Source organism: Homo sapiens, chromosome 11 (assembly GCF_000001405.40).
Source record: "Homo sapiens chromosome 11, GRCh38.p14 Primary Assembly".
NCBI classification, from domain to species: Eukaryota; Metazoa; Chordata; class Mammalia; order Primates; family Hominidae; genus Homo; species Homo sapiens.
Genome location: NC_000011.10, coordinates 27579312 through 27600417, shown reverse-complemented (window position 1 = coordinate 27600417; position 21106 = coordinate 27579312). Strand labels below are relative to the sequence as shown.

Genomic DNA, 21106 nt, shown 5'->3' with positions numbered 1-21106 from the left:
GGCTATACAACTTTATACATTCATTGTTATTACAACCCTGTTCTGTAGCTACTATTATTTTCCCCCACTTAATAGATGAGGAACCTGGGCTCGGAGAGTTTAAATGACTAGGCCAAGGCCAGACAGGGAGTGTGGACCCAGATGCTTGGTGGACCTTGCATTCAACCCAGGTCTGTTTGGCTTCAGCCTGCATTTCCCACTGTACAACACCATCTCCCCATGTGCCATCTCACCATCTGCAGAACAGGAGCCAGCCTACCCCACCTTTCATGGTTGTTGTCAAGAACACAGGAGACATATGGTGGCTTCCAGAAGACTCTACAGATGGCCATTTTAAAACAAGAAAATAAAAGGAAGCCATATATTGGGCTGTACCCTAACTCGTTCACAGGCCTCACCTCAGTGGTAAAGCCAATGGCTTTCTTAGTGCTGAATAGGAAAGAACGTGCATCCTGTGAACATGAACTGTGCAGCAACTCCTGGTGAGTTCTCCTTTTTATGGAACTGGGAGGCTGAGGTGGGAGGATCACTTGGGGCCAGGAGTTCAAGACCAGCCTGGGCAACACAGTGAGACCTCCCATCTCTACAAAAAATTTAAAAATTAGCCAGGAAGCATGGTAGCCCATGGCTGTAGTTCCAGCTACTTGGGAGGCTGAGGTGGGAGGATCACTTGAGCCCAGGTGTTTGAGGCTGCAGTGAGCTATGATTGCACCACTGCACTCTTGCTTGCTTGGGCAATGAAGCAAGACCCTGTCTTTAAAAAAAAAAAAAAAAAAAAAAGATTAGATGTGATTAAGGCAAATTTTAAGCCAAAGGTGATGTTTATAGAGAAAGTTTTGGTCTCAATAAAACAAAGATTTTTCTAACAACAAGGCTGTCCCAAACCACAGTGGGCTACTCAGGTGAGGGTAGGCATGAGTGGTCTTGAGCTCCCATCCCTGCAGTGGCTCCAGCAGAGGCTTTATGCCTGCCTGTTAGGGACTGACAGTGCAGGGAGCACATGGGGAATCAGTGTTGATGTGCTACTATAGCGCCACCTCACTCTGCTCAGGCAACCATTTCACAAGAGCCCTTTGGCATGAATGCCAATCAAGTGTCACTACACAAGGGAAAATTCTCCTGGTCTGCTGGGTGTAAGTTCAGAAGGACTTTCATGTTCTTTAGTTATACCATAGAAGAAGCCACCATGCCCATATAACCTTACCTCCTGGGACAACCAGGCTCTGATTATAGGTTCTTTCCAAACTTTTCTTTTTAGATTGCTGTTTAAAGGTTTTCCCCAAAAATCACTGAATTATATCTCTATATTTTAAAGCTTAAGGGCATTTTTCACTGAATTTGAATACTGGGAAACTTTTTACCATTAAAGCAGCCTTATATTTTAATCTACTCTGGTCCCATAGTGGTTGTCTCCACCAAGAAGAGCAGTTGAGGCTGGAATAGCAAGGAGAGGAAAATAAGAAGAGCAATTTTTCAGCCTGTGTGCCTCCTCCCAAAGGGACTCCTTTCAGCATTTTCAGTGTAATATATGTTGACAGTACTGTTACTAAAATGATCATTAAAAAGATATTGGGGAAGAAAAGTAAATGCAGGAGCATAGAACAGATAGATAAGATTACCAAAGGCTTGGACACAGGGACACAAATGTTCTGTGTTCTACATCACCCCAAGCCAAGGTGCAGGCATCCCCTGACTCCCCACTGCATTCACCTCACCTATAGGTTAGAACAGAGTGTTACTTGTGCCAATGAACACACGTGTCAAACATCCCCTTTGTGCAAAACATGTGTTGGACACTACCTTTAAGGAGCTTATTGTCTTATTGAAGATGAAAACTATGAATGTATTTAAGCTGCACACTGCTCATAAAATAATTAAAGGCAGTTTACAGAGAAAACAAGGGCAACAACATAAAATTGGCTAATATAAAAATGGAAACCGTAGATGAATAGATAAACAAAACGTGGAATATGGAATATATATAAATCAAATATTATTCAGCCTTAAAAGGAAGGAGGTTCTTACACATGCCACAACGCTGACGAATCTTGAGGACATTATGCTGAGTAAAATAAGCTAGACGCAAAAGGACAAATGGTGTACAATTCCTCTTACATGAGGTATTTGGAGAAGTCAAATTCATAGAGACAGAAAATAGAATGGTGGTTGCCATGGGCTGGGGAGAGGGGAGTATGAGGAGTTATTGTTTAATGGTATGGAGTTTTCTCTTGGAAAGATGAAAAAGTTCTGCTGGTAGATAGTGGTGATGGTTGCACAACAATGCGAATGTACTTAATTTCAGTAAACTGTATACTTAAAAATGGTTAAAAGGTCAATTTTATGTTATATATGTTTTACAACAATAAAAAACAGATTGGACTCTAAAGGTTTAGTACAAAAAAATGAAAAATATCTCATTAATACTTTTTTTCTGCATTGATTGCAAGTTGATATGATAACATTTTGAATACGGTGGGTTAAATTAAAAATATTATTCTTAAAAATTTTTTTAATGCAAGCTATAGAGGAAGAATAATAAAATCAAAGAACTTCAAGGGGGCCAGCGTGTGCATACATATATGAAGTGACAAGTGATGTTTACAACAGGGGGTGAGTATGTTTGAGGCAACCAAGACTCTATGCCCAACCTCAATGCATTCAGGTTAATTTATTTTATTTATTTATTTATTTTCTTTTTGAGACGGAGTCTCACTCTGTCGCCCAGGCTGGAGTGCAGTGGTGCAATCTTGGCTCACAGCAACCTCCAGCTCCTGGGTTCAAGCAATTCTCCTGCCTCAGCCTCCAGAATAGCTGGGACTACAGTCATATGTCTCCATGCCTGGCTAATTTTTTTGTAGTTTTAGTAGAGATGGGGGTTCACCATGTTGGCCAGGATGGTCTCGATCTCCTGACCTCGTGATCCACCCACCTCGGCCTCCCAAAGTCCTGGGATTACAGGCGTGAGCCACTGTGCCTGGCCCAGGTTAAATTTTTAAGAAACCCCATGTGTTGGTCTGTTCTCATGCTGCTAATAAAGACATAACCAAAACTGGGTAACTTATAAAGGAAAGAGGTTTAATGGACTCACAGTTCTACATGGCTGGGGAGGCCAGACAATCATGGTAGAAGACAAAGTCAGAGAGCAAAGGGACATCTTACATGGCAGCAGGCAAAAGAGCTTGTGCAGGGGAATGCCCCTCTATAAAACCGTCAGATCTTCTGAGACTTACTTACTACCATGAGAACAGTATGGGGGAAAGTGCCCCCATGATTCAGTTATCCCCCCCGGCTCCATGCTTGACATGTGAGGATTATTACAACTCAAGGTGAGATTTTGGTGGGGACACAGCCAAACCATATCAACACACTTAAACAAACAATCACGTCCTCAGTCTCAATGACCTGGAGGCAACAGTTACTGGCATCTGACATAGTATGTTACACATTTGCTAAGGGTGTGCAAGTTTGGCTTGAGTTATCCAGCAGCCAATGTGAAAAGAGAAATTTAGCCAGTTGCACAGTTCACAAGGTAGTGAGATAAAAACCAAGCAGTTATTCAGAAGCACATGTGGTATTGATATTGAGATAGAAAAGAAATATCTCCTGAGGGTCTTGTAGAAAGAACACTGCAATGTAGTGAACAACATCCTTAGAGGTTGGGACAAAGTCCCATGGAATTTTTCTCACCCCATCCTTCATTTGAGACCCATTATTTCATAAAACAGTGTCACAAAAAACAGTTCTGCCAGAGGCCAGCCATCCAGTGGAAGACAAAGTAGTGCTGGACGAATGGTAGAGGTGATGAGGAATGTGAGTGCTATTGTCATTCAAAGGAGAGCAGACTTCATAAGGAGTCATGTGCGAAGAAAGGCAGTGGGCTGAAGCTTTAGGAAAGGGAGGGTTTAGATTCTTGCCTGATCCATGGTGGGTACACTGGAAGTATTTGTCGCACGAATGACTGTATAGATGTCCTAGTCCATTCAGGATGCTGTAACAAAACACCTTAGACTGGGCAGTTTATAAACAACAGAAATTTATTTCTCACAGTTCTGGAGCCTGGGAAGTCCAAGTTCATGGTGCAGCAGATTCAACGTCTGCTTCATGAACTACGCCTTCTACCTGTGTCCTCATGTGGCAGAAGGAACAAGGGAGTCCATTGAAGGCTGTTTTATAAGAGTGCTAATCTCATCCATGAGGGTGGAAACTGCATGATTTATTTATTCACTTCCCAAAGGCTCCACCTCCCCCCACCTTTTTTTTTTTTTTTCCTGAGGTGGAGTCTCGCTCTTGTTGCCCAGGCTGGAGTGCAGTGGCATGATCTCAGCTCACTGCAACCTCCGCCTTCTGGCTTCAAGCAATTCTCCTGCCTCAGCCTCCTAAGAAGCTGGGATTACAGGCGCCCACCACCATGTCCCGCTAATTTTTGTATTTTTAGTAGAGATGGGGTTTCACCATGTTGGTCAAGCTGGTCTCAAACTCCTGACCTCGTGATCCACCTGCCTCAGCCTCTCAAAGTGCTGGGATTACAGGCTTGAGCCACTGCACCTGGCCAAGGCTGCACCTCTTAATACTATCACACTGGTTTTCCAGTTCCAACATATGAATTTGGAGAAGGCACCAACATTCAGACCTTAGCAGTAGAGAATAACACACACACACACACACACACACACACACACACACACACACACGTATTTCAAAACCAAAAGGATAGAAGAGTATTCTGGAGGGCAATCTGGCTGGCTGAAGGATATCAGTCAGGATGTTCATAGCAAGTGACAACAATCTAACTTGACCTTGATTTTTAAAAAATGGAAATGTATACCATCCAGGACATAGGCATAGGCAAAGACTTCATGACTAAAACACCAAAAGCAACGGCAACAAAAGCCAAAATTGACAAATGAGATCTAATTAAACTAAAGAGCTTCGGCACAACAAAAGAAACTATCATCAGAGTGAACAGGCAACCTACAGAATGGGAGAAAATTTTTGCAAACTATCCATATGATGAAGGGCTAATATACAGAATCTATAAGGAACATAAACAAATTTACAAGAAAAAAACAAACAACCCCATCAAAAAGTCGGTGAAGGATATGAACAGACACTTCTCAAAAGAAGACATTTATGCGGCCAACAAACATGAAAAAAAGCTCATCATCACTGGTCATTAGAAAAATGCAAATCAAAACCACAATGAGATACCATCTCACACCAGTTAGAAGGGTGATCATTAAAAATTTAGGAAACAACGGATGCTGGAGAGGAAGTACAGAAATAGGAATGCTTTTACACTGTTGGTGGGAGTGTAAATTAGTTCAACCATTGTGGAAGACAGTGTGGCGATTCCTCAAGCATCTAGAACCAGAAATACCATTTGACCCAGCAATCTCATTACTGGGTACATACCCAAAGGATTATAAATCATTCTACTATAAAGACACATGCACACGTATGTTTATTACAGCACTGTTCACAATAGCAAAGACTTGGAACCAATCCAAATGCCCATCAATGATAGATTGGATAAAGAAAATGTGGCGCATATACACCATGCAATACTATGCAGCCATAAAAAAGGATGAGTTCATGTCCTTTGTAGGGACATGGATGAAGCTGGAAACCATCATTCTCAGCAAACTAACACAGGAACAGAAAACCAGACACCACATGCTCTCACTCATAAGTGGGAGTTGAACAATGAGAACACACGGGCACAGGAAGGGGAACATCACACACTATGGCCTATGAGGGGGGTGGGGGGCTAGGGGAGGGATAACATTAGGAGAAATACCTAATATAGATGATGGGTTGATGGGTGCAGCAAACCTCCATGGCACATGTATAGCTATGTAACAAACCTGCACATTCTGCACATGTATCCCAGAACTTAAGTATAATCATAATAAAAAAAGAATGCGAAAAAACAAAAAAAAAGGAAATGTATTGGAAGCATATTGGAATATCTCACATCATTAAAAGAAGTTGAAGATCAAACATGTTGAAGGCAGGGTAAAGGTGGGCCTACATGGTGGACATGGAGAAGTGCCGCTCAGATACCCTTTCACAGAACAATATGTTTTCCCAGATGCTGGCCATGTGGTCAGTAGACAGCCTTCATCTATCATCTACTTCAGGGTTTGCCTCAGATGCTGAGAGTTGCCTTGTCCAAGAGCTTGCCCTTCCCTGGGTAGCCCATATCCAGTGACTAATCACTGTGGAAGTATAAAGGCCAGAACATCTCAGCTCATGCAGCACAATTTCAATGGGCCATTTATGCTCAATGGACTTATTATGCTCAATAATTCTCTGTGGAGTTGTCAGACTTGCATTGAGTTCAGTTTCTTCCTCTTCCCAATCTTGCTTTCTCTTCCTCCTTCCCATAAGTGCTGGTCCCTAATAAATATCCTACACCACAAATTCTATCACAGGGACTGTTTCAGTAAAACCCAACCTTCGACAGCCTTGGAAATGAACTCAAATACCAGTAGGATGCTCTCTCTGTCTCTCATATCTCCATCTTTCTGGATCTTTGCTTCTGACTCTTCCACTCTAGTTTGCTTCTCCAAACACTGGGAAATCTGATCATGAAGAGTTTCTCTTAATGTTAGCCACCGGGGGAAAAACGTTAGCCACAGAAATGATCAGATTGTTATTGCTTGGTTTCTGATAAAAACTGTTTAAAATCCCAGGAAAGGATAACAAATGGCCCAGCTGGGGTCAGGTATCTACCCACAAACAAATTCAGGCCTGGATGTCAAGACATTATAACAGGCCAGGCCTGGGTCAAAACCTATTTCTCAGGAATGGGATCATATACTAACAAATATGGCAGCCCCATAGACCCATGGGGTTTTGGAGAGGATTGCTGGACAAAAAAACATTTAACAAAAAAAAAACAGCAGAAGCAACAACAACAACAACAACAAACCACATTATATTCTCTGTATTTTGGGGAGTACTAGCAGGTTCCTTTGAAAGATTAATTTAGGATTTGTATGTTAGGTGTACGAGTTAAAATATTTTTAGTTAATTGGCTTTCAAATACTTAGAGCAACAGGACTCTTTTTCAGACAAAACTTACTCAAAACACCTACATAATAAGCAGATAATAATGGAGCTGCTGATTTGATAGGAAGTAGGAGCCCCAGAATCCAATTTCTTGTCTTTCTCTAATTCCATTTCCCAGCAACCAATGAGCCACCTCGTTCACTCATTCAACAAATATTCATTGAATATTTCTGCCTCCACATTGTGCTAAGTGATAGAAAGATATTCGTTGAGTAAAAACAAACATAATCTCTCTTTCTGGAGCATTCTATGTATGATCGTAGGACACAGTTTGAAACCCACTATTCTGGGTAATATTGGGGGGTTGGGGAGAAGGACAATGAAGGATTAAGATAGAAAAGTGTTGTTTTAGAAATACTGACCTGGTGGTTTTAGATGTTGTTAACCCAATTTGGGGAATACTAGTCATGTTGATTAACTGGAAAACTATTGAAATAGCCAAGACATGAAATGTGTGGTCCAAACTAGAGAAAAGGCAGAGGAAATGAAGAGTGAATACAAGAAATATAAGGTAAGAAAAATTGATGAGTCTTGGTGACAACCTCTTAATGGATCTGGCTAGTATCTATTAATGCATGATATTAAAACAATCCCACATACATTTAGAGGCACTAAGTCTCCCCTCCCACTTTTCCCACTCAATCAAATTTGCAATATATTCCAATCCACATCACTGCACTTACACATTAATCATTCATGCATTCTTGACAGCCCATTTCAGTCCTATTCTTTCAGCACCCTGACCACTCACACATGTTTCTTATGGTTCCAAGTACAACAGTCTCTCCTGGCTGATGGCAGCCCATCACATTCCTCATGTCCTCTTTGCATATAACTGTAATCAATATTAAATTCCTAAAAATTTACAGTTCAACTAACATCAAATACTCCTTTAGCCAAGATATCATTCTCTGGCTTCTCAGGGACTTGTTTTGTGTAATATGCAAAAAATTTTTAATTTCCCTTTACATATTTTAAGTTCAGTGTGTGGTTATATAAGATAAGGTCTATTTTTCTGGCCTTGGTGATGACTCAGTATTTTTGAAGCATCTTGGGCTGAAGATGCTTGCACCATTACCCCCTTGTACATTCACTTTGCAATTTAGATTTTTCTAAGAATTTTGCAAGATTACCTCTAGAAAGATCCTTTTGAATTATTGCTCCCCACTAACTTGTCACAGTTGAGGGAAACTGAAGAGACTACATTCTGGACTTTTAAGCTGCAGCCTTGTGTTCTTTTGCTACTAGAAGATACAAGAAAAGGCAGGGGCACATATACTTTATGACAACTCACCATAAAGGAGCAGGGTAATTTTTATTGGTCACTGAAATCCTATTCACAGGCAAATCACTGCAGGCAAAGATTCAAACTTAATTTCTGCTTCAGTGCCTTTTTTCTTTGTGTATTAGAGTTTTGTCTGCATATTACTAAGTATCTACCTAGGCCACAAGCAACTTGAAAACAGAGACTGTGTATTGCATGTCCTAATATCTCATACACTACTTTATTGGGCACACAGATTCTAGACCACATTTCATTTATGTATTTATTCATCTCACAAAAATTTATTGAGTACTTACTATACACCAGGCACTGTTCTAGGTGCTCGGGTTACGGAAATAATTAAGGAAAACATGGTCCCTACCCTCATGGGGCATACTGCATAACAGAAAAATTAGAAATTGAACAGGGAGGATCTGATAGAAAAGACAATATTGAACAACTAATAGAAGTATGATGAGGTTTCTAAAAGGGAAGTGCAAAGTCTGAAAGAACAACTATCGGGAGATTACCACCCCTCCCTCACTTATCTTCTGAACATCCCTCCTCCCCTGCCTCATCCCTCCCTTGATCCATGAGTGAAACTGGCATCGGGGACACAAAGCCTGAGTGTCACCATTCTGTGACTTCTGTGTCTCTTGGGGCCCCTATTGGTTAACATATTTTGGCACATCAAAGCAAGTGACTCAAGCACAAGCTTGATAGTAGCTCCCAGGAGGGAACAACTGAGAGTGACAAACCTACATTCATTCATTCATTCATTCAGCAAACATTTATTGAGCATTTATTCTGTGCCAGGTACTATGAGCAAAACAGTCACTGCCATCATTAGAGTACTCATGTGCTGAGAAAGATGTATTTTAAGCAAAGGATCACACAAATAAATGTAAAATAAGTCCCACATCATGCTCTAGAGGGTTAGGAGTATATATAATGGAGGGATTTGACTTCTGTAATATATTCAACACAAGTAACCCATGATCTTATGATCCCAAAGCCTGAACTCTCAATGTCTATGTCACACTGAAAAGTCAGCAAGTGCATGATCGCTGCCAGGCCATTTTCCCCCATATTTAGGCAACTCTGATTATTAGAAGAGTTCTTCCTTCTATGGAACCTGAGTTGGCACTCTACACAGTATCATTGTTCTAACCACAGGAATCACACATAAAAAGTTGACATGACTTTTTTTTCGAACGTTAAAAACAACAACAACAACAACAACAACAAAAAACTAGCAAAACTTCTTCCATCCCAATCCTGGATTTCAAACCTTCCATTCCATGGCATGCTTATAAAGTTCCCACCCCATCTTTGTCACTTCCCTTTGGACTTGTTGTATAGCCCAAGGTTGACTGACAGATAGCTGACACACCCCATTTCCCTATCTTCATACTCATGGAAAACATTGCATATTGATCCCTATGTACTTTACTAATATGCCCAGATGAAGTCTTGTAATCAATTTCAGCACAGCTCTCTAGCTCTGATCAATCAAGTAGTGTTAACAAGAGGGTGAAATCTTGTTGCTATCCAAGCCTAGCCATGTCCCTCTAAAAGTGAAGTGTGCAGAACTAAATACAAGGCTCAACACTGGGTTCTAATACTGGATCTAAGCTAACCACCATTCTAGCCTCATTCTGAAGATTTTAAACTTTATTATCAATGCTTCCTTCCCTAGATGTTCCATTACCTGGCATGCTCTTGCAAATAATATATGGAGTGGTGACATACAGGCACATAAATTTATATCCTGCCTTCACTATTGACCACTTTCTATTTATTTAATACTTAAGGCTCATTGTAACCATTTGTAAAATGTAGCTAACAATGCCTGCTTCACAGAGTGGTTGTGAAGAACTTTGAGACAATGTAAGCATATTTACCAGATCTTTGATACATTTTCTAGTGTATTTTTTCTTTCCTGACCACTTATGGCCTAGGACAGTCTTTTCCTAGTTCTAGATCAACCAAAAGACTCCACAAAAAATTGTAAATTACTCCAGAAAAACTAAAATAAAATCAAATAAAATGTTCTTGGTTTAGGTAAGTGAACAGTATAAAGATGTCAGTTTTCTCACTGCTGAAAGAAATCAAAGATTACACAAACAAATGGAAAAACATTCCAACCTCATGGATTGGAAGAATTAATATTGTTAAAACGGCCATACAGCTCAAAGCCATCTGCAGATTCAGCACTTATTCCTATCAAACTACCAATGTCATTTTTCACAGTATTAGAAAAAAACTATTCTAAAATTCACGTGGAACCAGAAAAGAGCCCAAATAGCCAAAGCAATCCTAAGCAAAAAAGAATAAAGCCAGAGGCATCACATTACCTGACTTCAAAGGTACATTACCTGACTATAAGGCTACGGTAACCAAAGCAGCATTGTACTGGTACAAAAACAGACACATAGACCAATGAAACAGAATAGAGAACCCAGAAATAAAGCTGCACACCTACAGCCATCTGATCTTCAACAAAATCAACAAAAATAAGCAATGGAGAAAGGACTTCCTGTTCAATAAATGGTCCTGGTATAGCTAGCTAGCCATATGCAGAAGAATGAAACCAGTCTGCTACCTTTTACCATTTACAAAAATTAAAATGAATTAAAGATTTAAATGTAAGACCTCAAACTCTAAGAATCCTAGGAGAAAACCTAGAAAACACCATTCTGGACATCAGTGTTGGGAAAGAATTTATGACTAAGTCCTCAAAAGCAATTGCAACAAAAACAAAAGTTGACAAGTAGGACCTAATTAAACTAAAGAGCTTCTGCAAAGCAAAAGAAACTATCAACAGAGTACAGAGATAACCTACATAATGGGAGAAAATACGACAAACTATGCATCCAACAAATGCCTAATATCCAGAATCTATAAGGGACCTAAAAAACTCAACAAGAAAAAAAAAACTCATGAAAAAGTGGGCAAAAGACATGGACACTTCTAAAAAGAAGACATATAAGTGGCCAACAAATAAACGGGAAAATGCTCCACATCAGTAATCATCAGAGATAATGCAAATCAAAACCACAATGAGATACCATGTCATAGCAGTCAAAATGGCAATCATTAAAAAGTCAAAAAACAAATGCTGGCAGGGCTGTGGAGAAAAGGGAATGCTTATACACTGTTGATGAGAATGTAAATTAGTTCAGCCACTGTGGAAAGCAGTTTTGATATTTTTTTTTAAATATGGAATCTCACTCTTTTGCCCAGGGTGGAGTGCAGTAGCATGGTCTTGGCTCACTGCAACCTCCGCCTCCCGGGTTCAAGTGATTCTCCTGCCTCAGCCTCCTGAGTAGCTGGGATTACAGACATGTGCCACCACACCCAGCTAATTTTTGTATTTTTGTAGAGATGGGATTTTGCCATGTTGACCAGGCTGGTCTGGTCTGGAACTCCTGACCTCAAGTGATCCGCCTACCTTCAGTGTCCCAAAGTGCTGGGATTACAGGCGTCAGCCACTTTGCCTGGCCGAGATTTTTCAAAAAACTTAAAACAGATCCACCAATCAACTCAGCAATGCCATTACTAGGTATATATCCAAAAGAAAATAGGTTGTTCCACCAAAAAGACATATACACTTGTGTGTTCATCGCAGCACTATTCACAAAAGCAAAGACATGGAATCAAACTAGGTGTCCATCCACACTGAACTAGATAAAGAAAATATAGTACATATATACCATAGAATACTATACAGTCATAAAAGGAATGAAATCACGTCCTTTGCAGCAACATGGATGCGGCTGGAGGCCATTATTCCAAGAGAATTAATGCAGGAACAGAAAACAAAATATCATGTTCTCATTTATAAGCTCAAATCACTGGAGTAAAGATGGACACTCTTAAACAAATGGTCCTGGGTAGTCATTTGGAGAAAGACAAAATTAGATCCATCTCTCACATCATCCATATTAATAAACTTCAAATAAATTAGGGATCTAAATATTTAAAAATAAAACTGTAAAAGTACTAGAAGAAACTATGAGTAAACTCATTTTTAATCTCAGTGTAGGGAAAAGTTTTCTAAGGATGACTCAAAATCCCAAGGCAATAAAAAATAAAAAAAATCAGAGGCAATAAAAAACAAAATTTATAAATTTTACTACTTGAAAATAAAAAATATTTTATATAACAAAAGCACCACAAAGAAAGTCAAAAGCGACTGATAAAACTGAGAGAAAAGATTTACAGCATATACCACAGACAAAGGGCTAATAGTTTTAACATATGAAGAACTCTTAATAACTGAGACACAAAAGACTGAAAACTCAATTTAAAAAAATAGGAGGACAGGCGTGGTGGGTCATACCTATAATCCCAGCACTTTGGGAGGCCAAGGAAGGAGGATCACTTGAGCCCAGGAATTCAGGACCAGCCTGGGCAAAATAGTGAGACCCCCATCACTACCAAAATAATAATAATAATAGAGCATGGTGGTATGTCCCTATAGTTCCAGCTACTGGGGAAGCCGAGGCAAAATGATCACTTGAACCCAGGAGTTGGAGGCTGCCACGAGCCATGATCACACCAGGGCATTCCAGCGTGGGCAATAGAGAAATTCTGTCTCAAAAAAAAAAAATTAAAATTAAGAATATAAAAAATGGGAAAAGACATGAATGGGCAATTCACAAAAACTGGACATTAAAAATGGCCTTCAGATATATGGGAAAATGCTGAAATTCATTCATAATTAGAGAAATACAAATTAAAACACAGTAAGTATCATTTCTCACCAGACTGGTTAAAGTTTAAAAACTTGACGACACATTCTGTTGGTGATGCTGTGAGGAAAAAGTCATTTTTATGGGTTTTATGTACCAATTATACAAATGGTACAACCCTTCTGGAAATAAATTTGGCAATACCTAACAAAACTACATACATTTTTACCTTTCAACAGCAATCCCACTTCTAGGAATCTACCCCAAAGATATACTTTCAACTACGCATTAATACATATATGCAAGGTTATTCATTGCAGCTTTGTTTGTAGCTGTACAATACTGGAAGCGACCCAAATGCCCATACATAGTAAAGTGGTTGAATAAACTATGATACATCCACACCATGAAATACTATGCAGTGGTAAAAAAAGAATGAAGAAGGTCTCTGAACAGGCATGGCATGATTTCCAGGACATACTGTTAAGTGAAAAAGGCAAGGCCCGAAAGAGTATCTCTAGGACATAAGAAGAAGATAGAAAATACCAAGGTGTCTGCTCTTTTGTGCAAAAGATCTAAAAGAAGGATAAATAGAAGCTTAGTAGTGTGGTTACCTAAGGAAGCAAGTGGAAAAAGAGAAGAAAAGAGGTGAATGGAAACAGAGTTTTAGGGATGAGGAGGGAGTCACACTTCTCCAAGTACTATTTTTGTATAGCTCTGACTCTTAGAACCACAGTTTCACAAACCCTTCACATATCCTCAAAATAAACAAAAACTTAAAATCAACCAGGATGCAAGGAAAGGAGAACCCAGAACCGAGTAGAAACACTAACAAATGAACCTAATCATACACAAATGAATAACATAACCACACTGAAATGGATGGGTAACTAACCTAAGTAAATATGGGAGATAGTGTCTCGATAGGCCACTGTGTGGCTAAAAAACATTAATTTGGCCTAACTGATCAGACACCGACTTAAAACAACTGATCAAGATAAAGTCCTCCAGCAATAAGACATATCAAGATCATTACTCCTGGATAATGATACCTTGAGAAAGATATAGGTGTATTTTTGTAGTGCTCTTGCCAAAAACACACAGCCTCAATCCAATCATGAGAAAACATTCCAAATTGAATGACATTCTACAAATTAACTGACTGGTACTTATTAAAAGTGTGAATGTCACAAAAAAAAAAAAAAGGAAAGACTGAGGAACTGTTATAGACTTATAGACTGAAAGAAACTAAGGAGAAATAAATAAATGCAATCTGGGATCACTGTTAGCATCCTAGCACAGAAAACAGGCATTAATGGAAACATTGATGAAATTCAAATAAGGTCTTCTGTTTAGTTGCCAGTATTGTACCAATGTTAATACCCCGTTCCTGATCATTTTATTAGGCTTATGTAAGATGTTAACTTTAAGGAACATGGGGTAAGGAATATAAGGAATTCTGTACTACTTTTACTATTTCATAAGTCTAAAATTGGTTTAAAATTTTAAAAGTATTTTTTAAAAGACTTCAATGGGAAGTAGAGAGGGCCATTGGGTCTTATGATGTTGGGAACCCCCAGCAGAGCAGGTATCCCAGTCCTTGAAAGTCTGTGGCCTTTTGTGCCTAGAGTTCATATGAGAGCCTAGAGCTCATATGTCAACCTCACCACTAGAGTTGAGGTAATGCTCTTCAACCCTGTGGCCTGTGGCCCAAACTAGGGGACTGGTTAATAACTCACGGTATATTCATACACTGAGATGCCAAAGGCCAATTAAAAACAAAGTTGTAGACTATTTAATAATTCTATATCATGTTTTCCAGAAATTAAATAGGTTAATATAGATAGATAGAGACAGAGAGAGAGAGAGAGAGAGAGAGAGAGAGATTGACAGAGAGAAAATTTGGAAAAATATTCTCCCAAAAGTTAATAGTAGTTACCACTGATTGGTGACCATATATCCTCTGCTAAATAAATAAAAAAGAGTTATTTTAAAATTAAGCAAGGAGACTTCTGGTTTTAAAATGGTGGAGTAAAAACATCTGTCTCCTTTCTCTTCTCCAAAGTCACACTGCAACAAGCAGAAGAAGGAAAACAGAATGCAAGTTCCATCCTTGAGAAAACTAGGAAATGACTGTAAATCTGAAGCATGCTATGAGGAAGGGGCTGCCTAATGTAGAGTCTACTGGGAAGAGCCCAGTGGGAAGAGCCCATTAAATTGGCCCATGAGGAAGACAAAGCCAGGACCCACCGGAAAATGCAGAGCCCAGACAACCCTGCAGAGCATGTGCTCTCCTAAGAAGTGGGACAGCAACCACCAATTCCTTGTCTAAACAATGGTGCTGGAACATGCAGGCTTAGAGGGGAAACTTCTTTGGTGCTTGTTTGGCACCTTAGAGAAGTAGGGAAGCTGGGACTGAAAGCAGAACCGCACAGACATGACATTTCAACAGGAAGCAAGTTATTGGTGAGATGAGGCAGGATAGAGGAAGATCCTGAACTCCAAGCTGGCACTTTTGGTAAGCAGTGAAAAAATAAAGGCAAAGCGATTCTCTTGCATACCCACGTACTCACACTAACACAACTCTGTGTTATAAAAAGCTTTATTACCATATCAGTTAAGATGAAGTTCAACTACGTATCAAAAAAACCCAAAAAACTTTAACATGATTATTTTTCTCTCATTTAAAAGAATTTCAAATGTTCTAAAATTGATTGTGGTGATGGTTGCACAACTCTGTGAACAAACTAAAAACCATTGGATTGTACACTTTCAAGGGGTGAACTGTATATATAAGTTATATCTCAAAAAAGCTATTTTTTGTTTTAAAATTTCGAGGAATAAGATTTGTATAGTGGCTTCATGGTGTCATCAGGAAGCCAGGCTCCTAACTTTCTGCTCTGTTACCCTCCGTACATGGCTTCCATCTTCAAGCACGCCTCATGGTTTTAGATGGCTTCTGGAGCTCTGGTCATTAAATCCATATTCTAGGCTGCAGAGATGAGGAAGAAGGCTCCATTTCCCTCTCACATTTAAGGTACTTACCTAAAAGCCAACTCAACACTTTTTCTTTACATATTCTTGGACGAAGATCAGTCACATGGCTATAACCCCCTGCAAGGAAAGTTGAGAATTTTAGGGCTATAGCTGAGCACAGTGACAATGAATAGAACCTGGTTTCTATTGTTTTAGAAGAAAGGAGAAATGAGTGTTGAAAGATACAATTAGTAGTTTATGCCACAACTATGAACCATAGAAAATTCTTTACAGCTCAAAACATAACCCTGTCCTATCTCCTGCAAATAGTCAGAAAGAACTTATCTCATTGAAAGATAAACAGTGATTAAAAAGAAACCAGTATACAAACTATGTAAAGATATTGCAAGAAAAAAAGGAGGAAGGAAACAGAAAAAACAAATGGCAGATGAAGAAGGAACATTTGTTTTTTTAAAAAAAAAAATGTTGTCACCAGGCAGACAAAATTATGATCAAGCATATTGTCATATATTTTAAGAATTTTTAACAATCTTAAAGCAGAGATACAAGAGCCAGGGAAAAGATGAATAGGCATTACTGAAAATACTATAAGATACACAGAATACGGGGCTAAAAAAGTAAGCAATAGGAATATATATGCAAAAAGATAGAACTATACAAGCCCATCAAAGTTAAATGAAAATGTAGATAACTGGCATCCTTGGATTATAGGTGTTCAAAACAACATTCAAAAATAACAAAAAAGAATCAAATGTACAGTGTGATAAGAAAAACTGATGAAGAATGAGTGACACTAAGATTAGCCTAAAAGTTATGAGATTTCAGAGATAAAGGAAAAAACCCTTTAATCATGCAAAAAGACCAAGTCATTAATGTAGGTAATGGAAGTGTAGGTGGGAATCAAGTTGACCTCTGGTATCTCTACAGCTTTATTTACCTTTAGAAGATAGAGGCGCAATGCTTACAAATTTCTTGCAGTCCAGAGAGTTTAATTAGCTAATCAGTTAGAAAACTTTTAAAGTAAAGGACCAGATGGTAAATATTTTCAGCTCGTACAATCTCTGTCACAGCTACTCAATTCTGCTGTTGTGCCTGAAAGCAGCTGTGGACAACATATAAATCAAAGGGCATGGTTGTGTTCTAATAAAACTTTATAAAGACAGGCAGCTTATTGCATTTGGCCCTTGGGCCATAATTTGCTGATCCCTGAGCTAAACTATCATTCAAATATAAAGGCAAAAGAGAAGCATTTTTGAAGTTTGACATCTTCAGGCATGTAATCCACATAATCTAAAGTGTTAGAAGACAAACTTTAGTGCACAAAAGATAAATGAAGAAAGTGAAGCAAGAATACTGGCAAGAAATAAAAAGCTAAAATATGCTCTACTACCTGGAGAACAGAAAAAGAGGCATACCTTCCGGCTCCTTTGGCAGCAAGTGCCTTAGAAGCCCCATGACGTGAAAGGATAATTCAAGAAACCAAGACATCTGTTGGAAGCCATAAAAATTATGATCAGTTCTAAATAAAGAAGGTGATGTCACATTTGCAGAGCCCTTTTAAAAACATCTAGAGATTCACAGAGATATTTAGATTGTTAACCCACAGTAACAGCTAAGTAAGAGGGGCCTCAATTTTCTCAGATGTGAAACACCAGGGTTGAATTAAATCAGAGACGCCTCAGCCCTGACTGCTCATGAGAATCACCTGAGGCATTTTTTTTAACGTCTATGCCTGGGTTCCATCCCAGACCACTTAAATTAGAATTTCTGGAGATAGAAAAGACAGTATTTTTTTAAAGCTCTCCAAATATTCAGATATGCAGCCAAGGGGGAAAACCACCAAATTAGATGGTTTGTGAGGTAATTATCAATTCAGATATTCTATAAATATATATGTATATAATGTATATATAAAGAATTATCCAAAACTTAAAAATTTAGAAATTGCTACATAAAAGAGGCAAAACTACTTAGTCAATTTTGGATGCATGTTTCTATTACAGAACTTTGAATTATGGTCCATACTGGTCTACGTCACAGGGGCTTCTAAAAAAAAAAAAACCTAAAGACTTAATGCCATCCTGATGTACATAAACTAGTACTTATTTGTGAATAAAGAAAAAAGTAGGTAACTTCTTCTGACAAGGTAATCAATTCCTTACTTTTAAAAGAAAAGTGTCCATGTCAAGTATTTGTAAAATGTCAAATGTTCCTTAGTTTTGAAAGTCTAAGGTTTTGGCATGGCGTTTGTTCGCTTTTAAAGAGCATTTCTTTCCTTTTTTTTTTTTAATAAAGTTTTATTTTTCCAAATGTACAGTTGGTTGGACCTATTCATGCATCTTCACCAGCAGCTGCAGCATCTCCGCCCTTGGTATTTCTGGTGTAAATTACTTTAGCTCTGTGCTTTGAAACCAGTTTGATAAGTCCTTTACTAAGGAGCTCCTGAAGGGCTGCCCTGGCCAGGGAGCCTCGAATCTTCAGTCTCTCAGAGACCACAGCTGGGGTTATAAGTTTATAATTGGGAACTTCCTTACAGAGTTTGTCATAGGTAGCTTTGTCAAACAAGACTAAGTTATTGAGCTTGTCCCGAACTTTGCCTTTGGACCACTTCTTCTTTTTGGCCTTGCCCCCGGATTTGTTAACTGGGTCTTTGTCTTTCTTGGCCGACTTTCCAGCATCCTTCTTCTTGTCATCCTTGGGTGGCATTGTGAAGCTCGGACAGCAGCAGCAGACACCGCAGCCTCGCTGAGATGTCGGACAAAAAGGACTAAAGAGCATTTCAATAAGACTGATCTCTAATCTACTTACTGAACTGCTTATTTCCAGAAATTAGCAAACTCAAAAAGAGATTTAAACACATGAAGAAAAATAAATGAATCTCAATACAGAAACAAAATATTTTCCTAGAGAAGCCAGATAATCAGTAATGATTAGGGTGACAATAGTCTCAGTTTGCCCAGGGCAATCCTGATGTGCACCTGTTATTCCAGAGTAATTATTAATAGTGTTCCCTTTCACTCTTACATATTTTCTGATGTAGGTAAGAAATTATATGGTAACTCTACTTTTGATGCTAACAATAATAAACGAGTTGTATCTCTTCATTAGAGCAGATACAAAGATCCATGCTTGGAAATATATTAACGATGAACAATGAGGCCGGGTGCAGTGGCTGACGCCTGTAATCTCAGCACTTTGGGAGGCAGAGGCGGGCAGATAACCTGAGATCGGGAGTTCAAGCCCAGCCTGGCCAACATGGCAAAACCTCATCTCTACTAAAAATACAAAAATTAGCCAGGTGTTGCGGCGTGCGCCTGTAGTCCCAGCTACTTGGGAGGCTGAGGCAGGATAATCGCTTGAACCCGGGAGGCAGAGGTTGCAGTGAGCCGAGATTGTGTCGCTGCACTCCAGCCTGGGCAATAGAGCGAGACTCCATCTCAACAACATCCACAACAACAAAAAACAAACAAACAAACGAACAAACAAAAACAATGTATCCTCACAATTAGGAACCAAATCTTTACCAGCAGTGCATAATTGGTAATCAGTCTTAGTCTGTGGTGTGGGAGGCGGAGCTAAATCATGCAGTAGAGGCAACAATTAATGTTTTCACAAAGGGATGTCAAGAGATATTTAAAGATAGATGCTAGAAATCCAGTTGGAATTGTTGGTAATGGGAGCAGAAGAGTTTGGGTGGGAATCAGAAATGACTTGCTAAGACGCTGGGAGGAAAGCAGATCCAAAGACCAGGGTCCCAGGGACCAATTCTGATGAGGAACAATAAGGGGAGGGAAAAACCCCAGACAGGAGCCAGGGAGGGTCTGGTATAGAACAATTGTGCGAAGAAACTTCTGGCTGTTTTCTCCAGCTTTTTATTGACCTAATCTCACCACAAGGATGTCACTCAGAGAATTAAATTCCTGGCACTTTTGTAATTTCTACAAAAAAAAAATTAAATGAAGTCTATTCTGGCAGATTTTGTTAATTCAGACTTTTAATTAATTCAAACTGCTCAATTACTTAAAAAAAATTTTTTTTCAAGTCAGTAAGCCTGACTTTCAAAGAAAACCAATCAAATGGTTTTTGAAGATAATTATCCTGGACTAGTGTTATTTGATCTTCTAAGATTTTCATGTGTTAGGTGGAAAATTAAAGTCTGCAAGGAACACAAAGATAAAGTGTCAGATCAGTCACATCAATCCTGCCCAGGGCAATACTGATGTGCATAATCAGTCAATGGGGGAACAAATGTCACTGTCACATCTTCATGTAAAAGAAGGAATGTGACAGCATTCTAAAAGTGAGTTATAATACTTATTCATTCAACAAATGTTTACTCATCTTCTATTATGTACATGGCAGCATGCTTACGTGGCAAATTACGGGTGTTTGTGAAAACGTGAAAAATGAACTACGACAGCAATAAATAGGTATATAATGGTAATGGAAAGACACCTCATGGCATCCTTGATCTATTCATTCTGAGAATGGTTCATTACTTATGGCTCCTAAAAAAGGCATGGACTTAATCACTAAGTTAGTAATCTATGACCCCTCAAAAGCAGAGCAACACGTCAAGCTCTTGGCTTTCCATGTGCTGGGTTCAGATCCTCAAAAGTCTCAGCTTCATTTCTTATCCTAGGGTTTAATAAGCCATCCCCATTCCCTTCCAATAAATTCTTCATTTACTTAAATTAATTTCAGTGGATTTATGTTTGTTGCAAATAAAGACCTTAAGACAGATAACAAGGGTGAATTTGATATTTTAATATAAGAAAGTAACAATTAATAGTGTTCCCTTTCACTCTCACACATTTTCTGATGTAGGTAAGAAATTATATGGTAACTCTACCATTGATGCTAACAATAATAAATGAGTTATTATTAATATTTGGTATAATTCCAGTGAAGAATATGACAACTAAAGAGAATTTCTTCTGGAAATGAATGGATTAAATATAAAAGGAAGGGGGAAAGCCCAGTGATACATAAGATATAATCTTAATGGGAATTCTTAAACTTGTCACCAGGAGCATAGTGAAGACCATTTGGGTTAAGACAAAGTGAGAGAGAA

General features: G+C 38.8%; 1 long non-coding RNA gene and 1 pseudogene across 5 annotated transcripts in view; both read right to left on the bottom strand.

The window, feature by feature from the left end:
- Positions 1 to 21106, bottom strand: part of BDNF-AS (BDNF antisense RNA) — a 191320-nt gene that overhangs the window by 97754 nt on the left and 72460 nt on the right. For 2 of the 5 annotated variants that reach the window (NR_002832.2, NR_033314.1), the window contains exon 3: positions 16081 to 16149. The exons of the other annotated variants lie outside the window; for them this stretch is intronic. This is a non-coding gene — a long non-coding RNA (BDNF antisense RNA). The remainder of the gene's footprint in view (positions 1 to 16080; positions 16150 to 21106) is intronic. 5 annotated transcript variants of the gene reach the window in all.
- RPS25P1 (ribosomal protein S25 pseudogene 1) lies at positions 18318 to 18797 on the bottom strand (annotated as a pseudogene).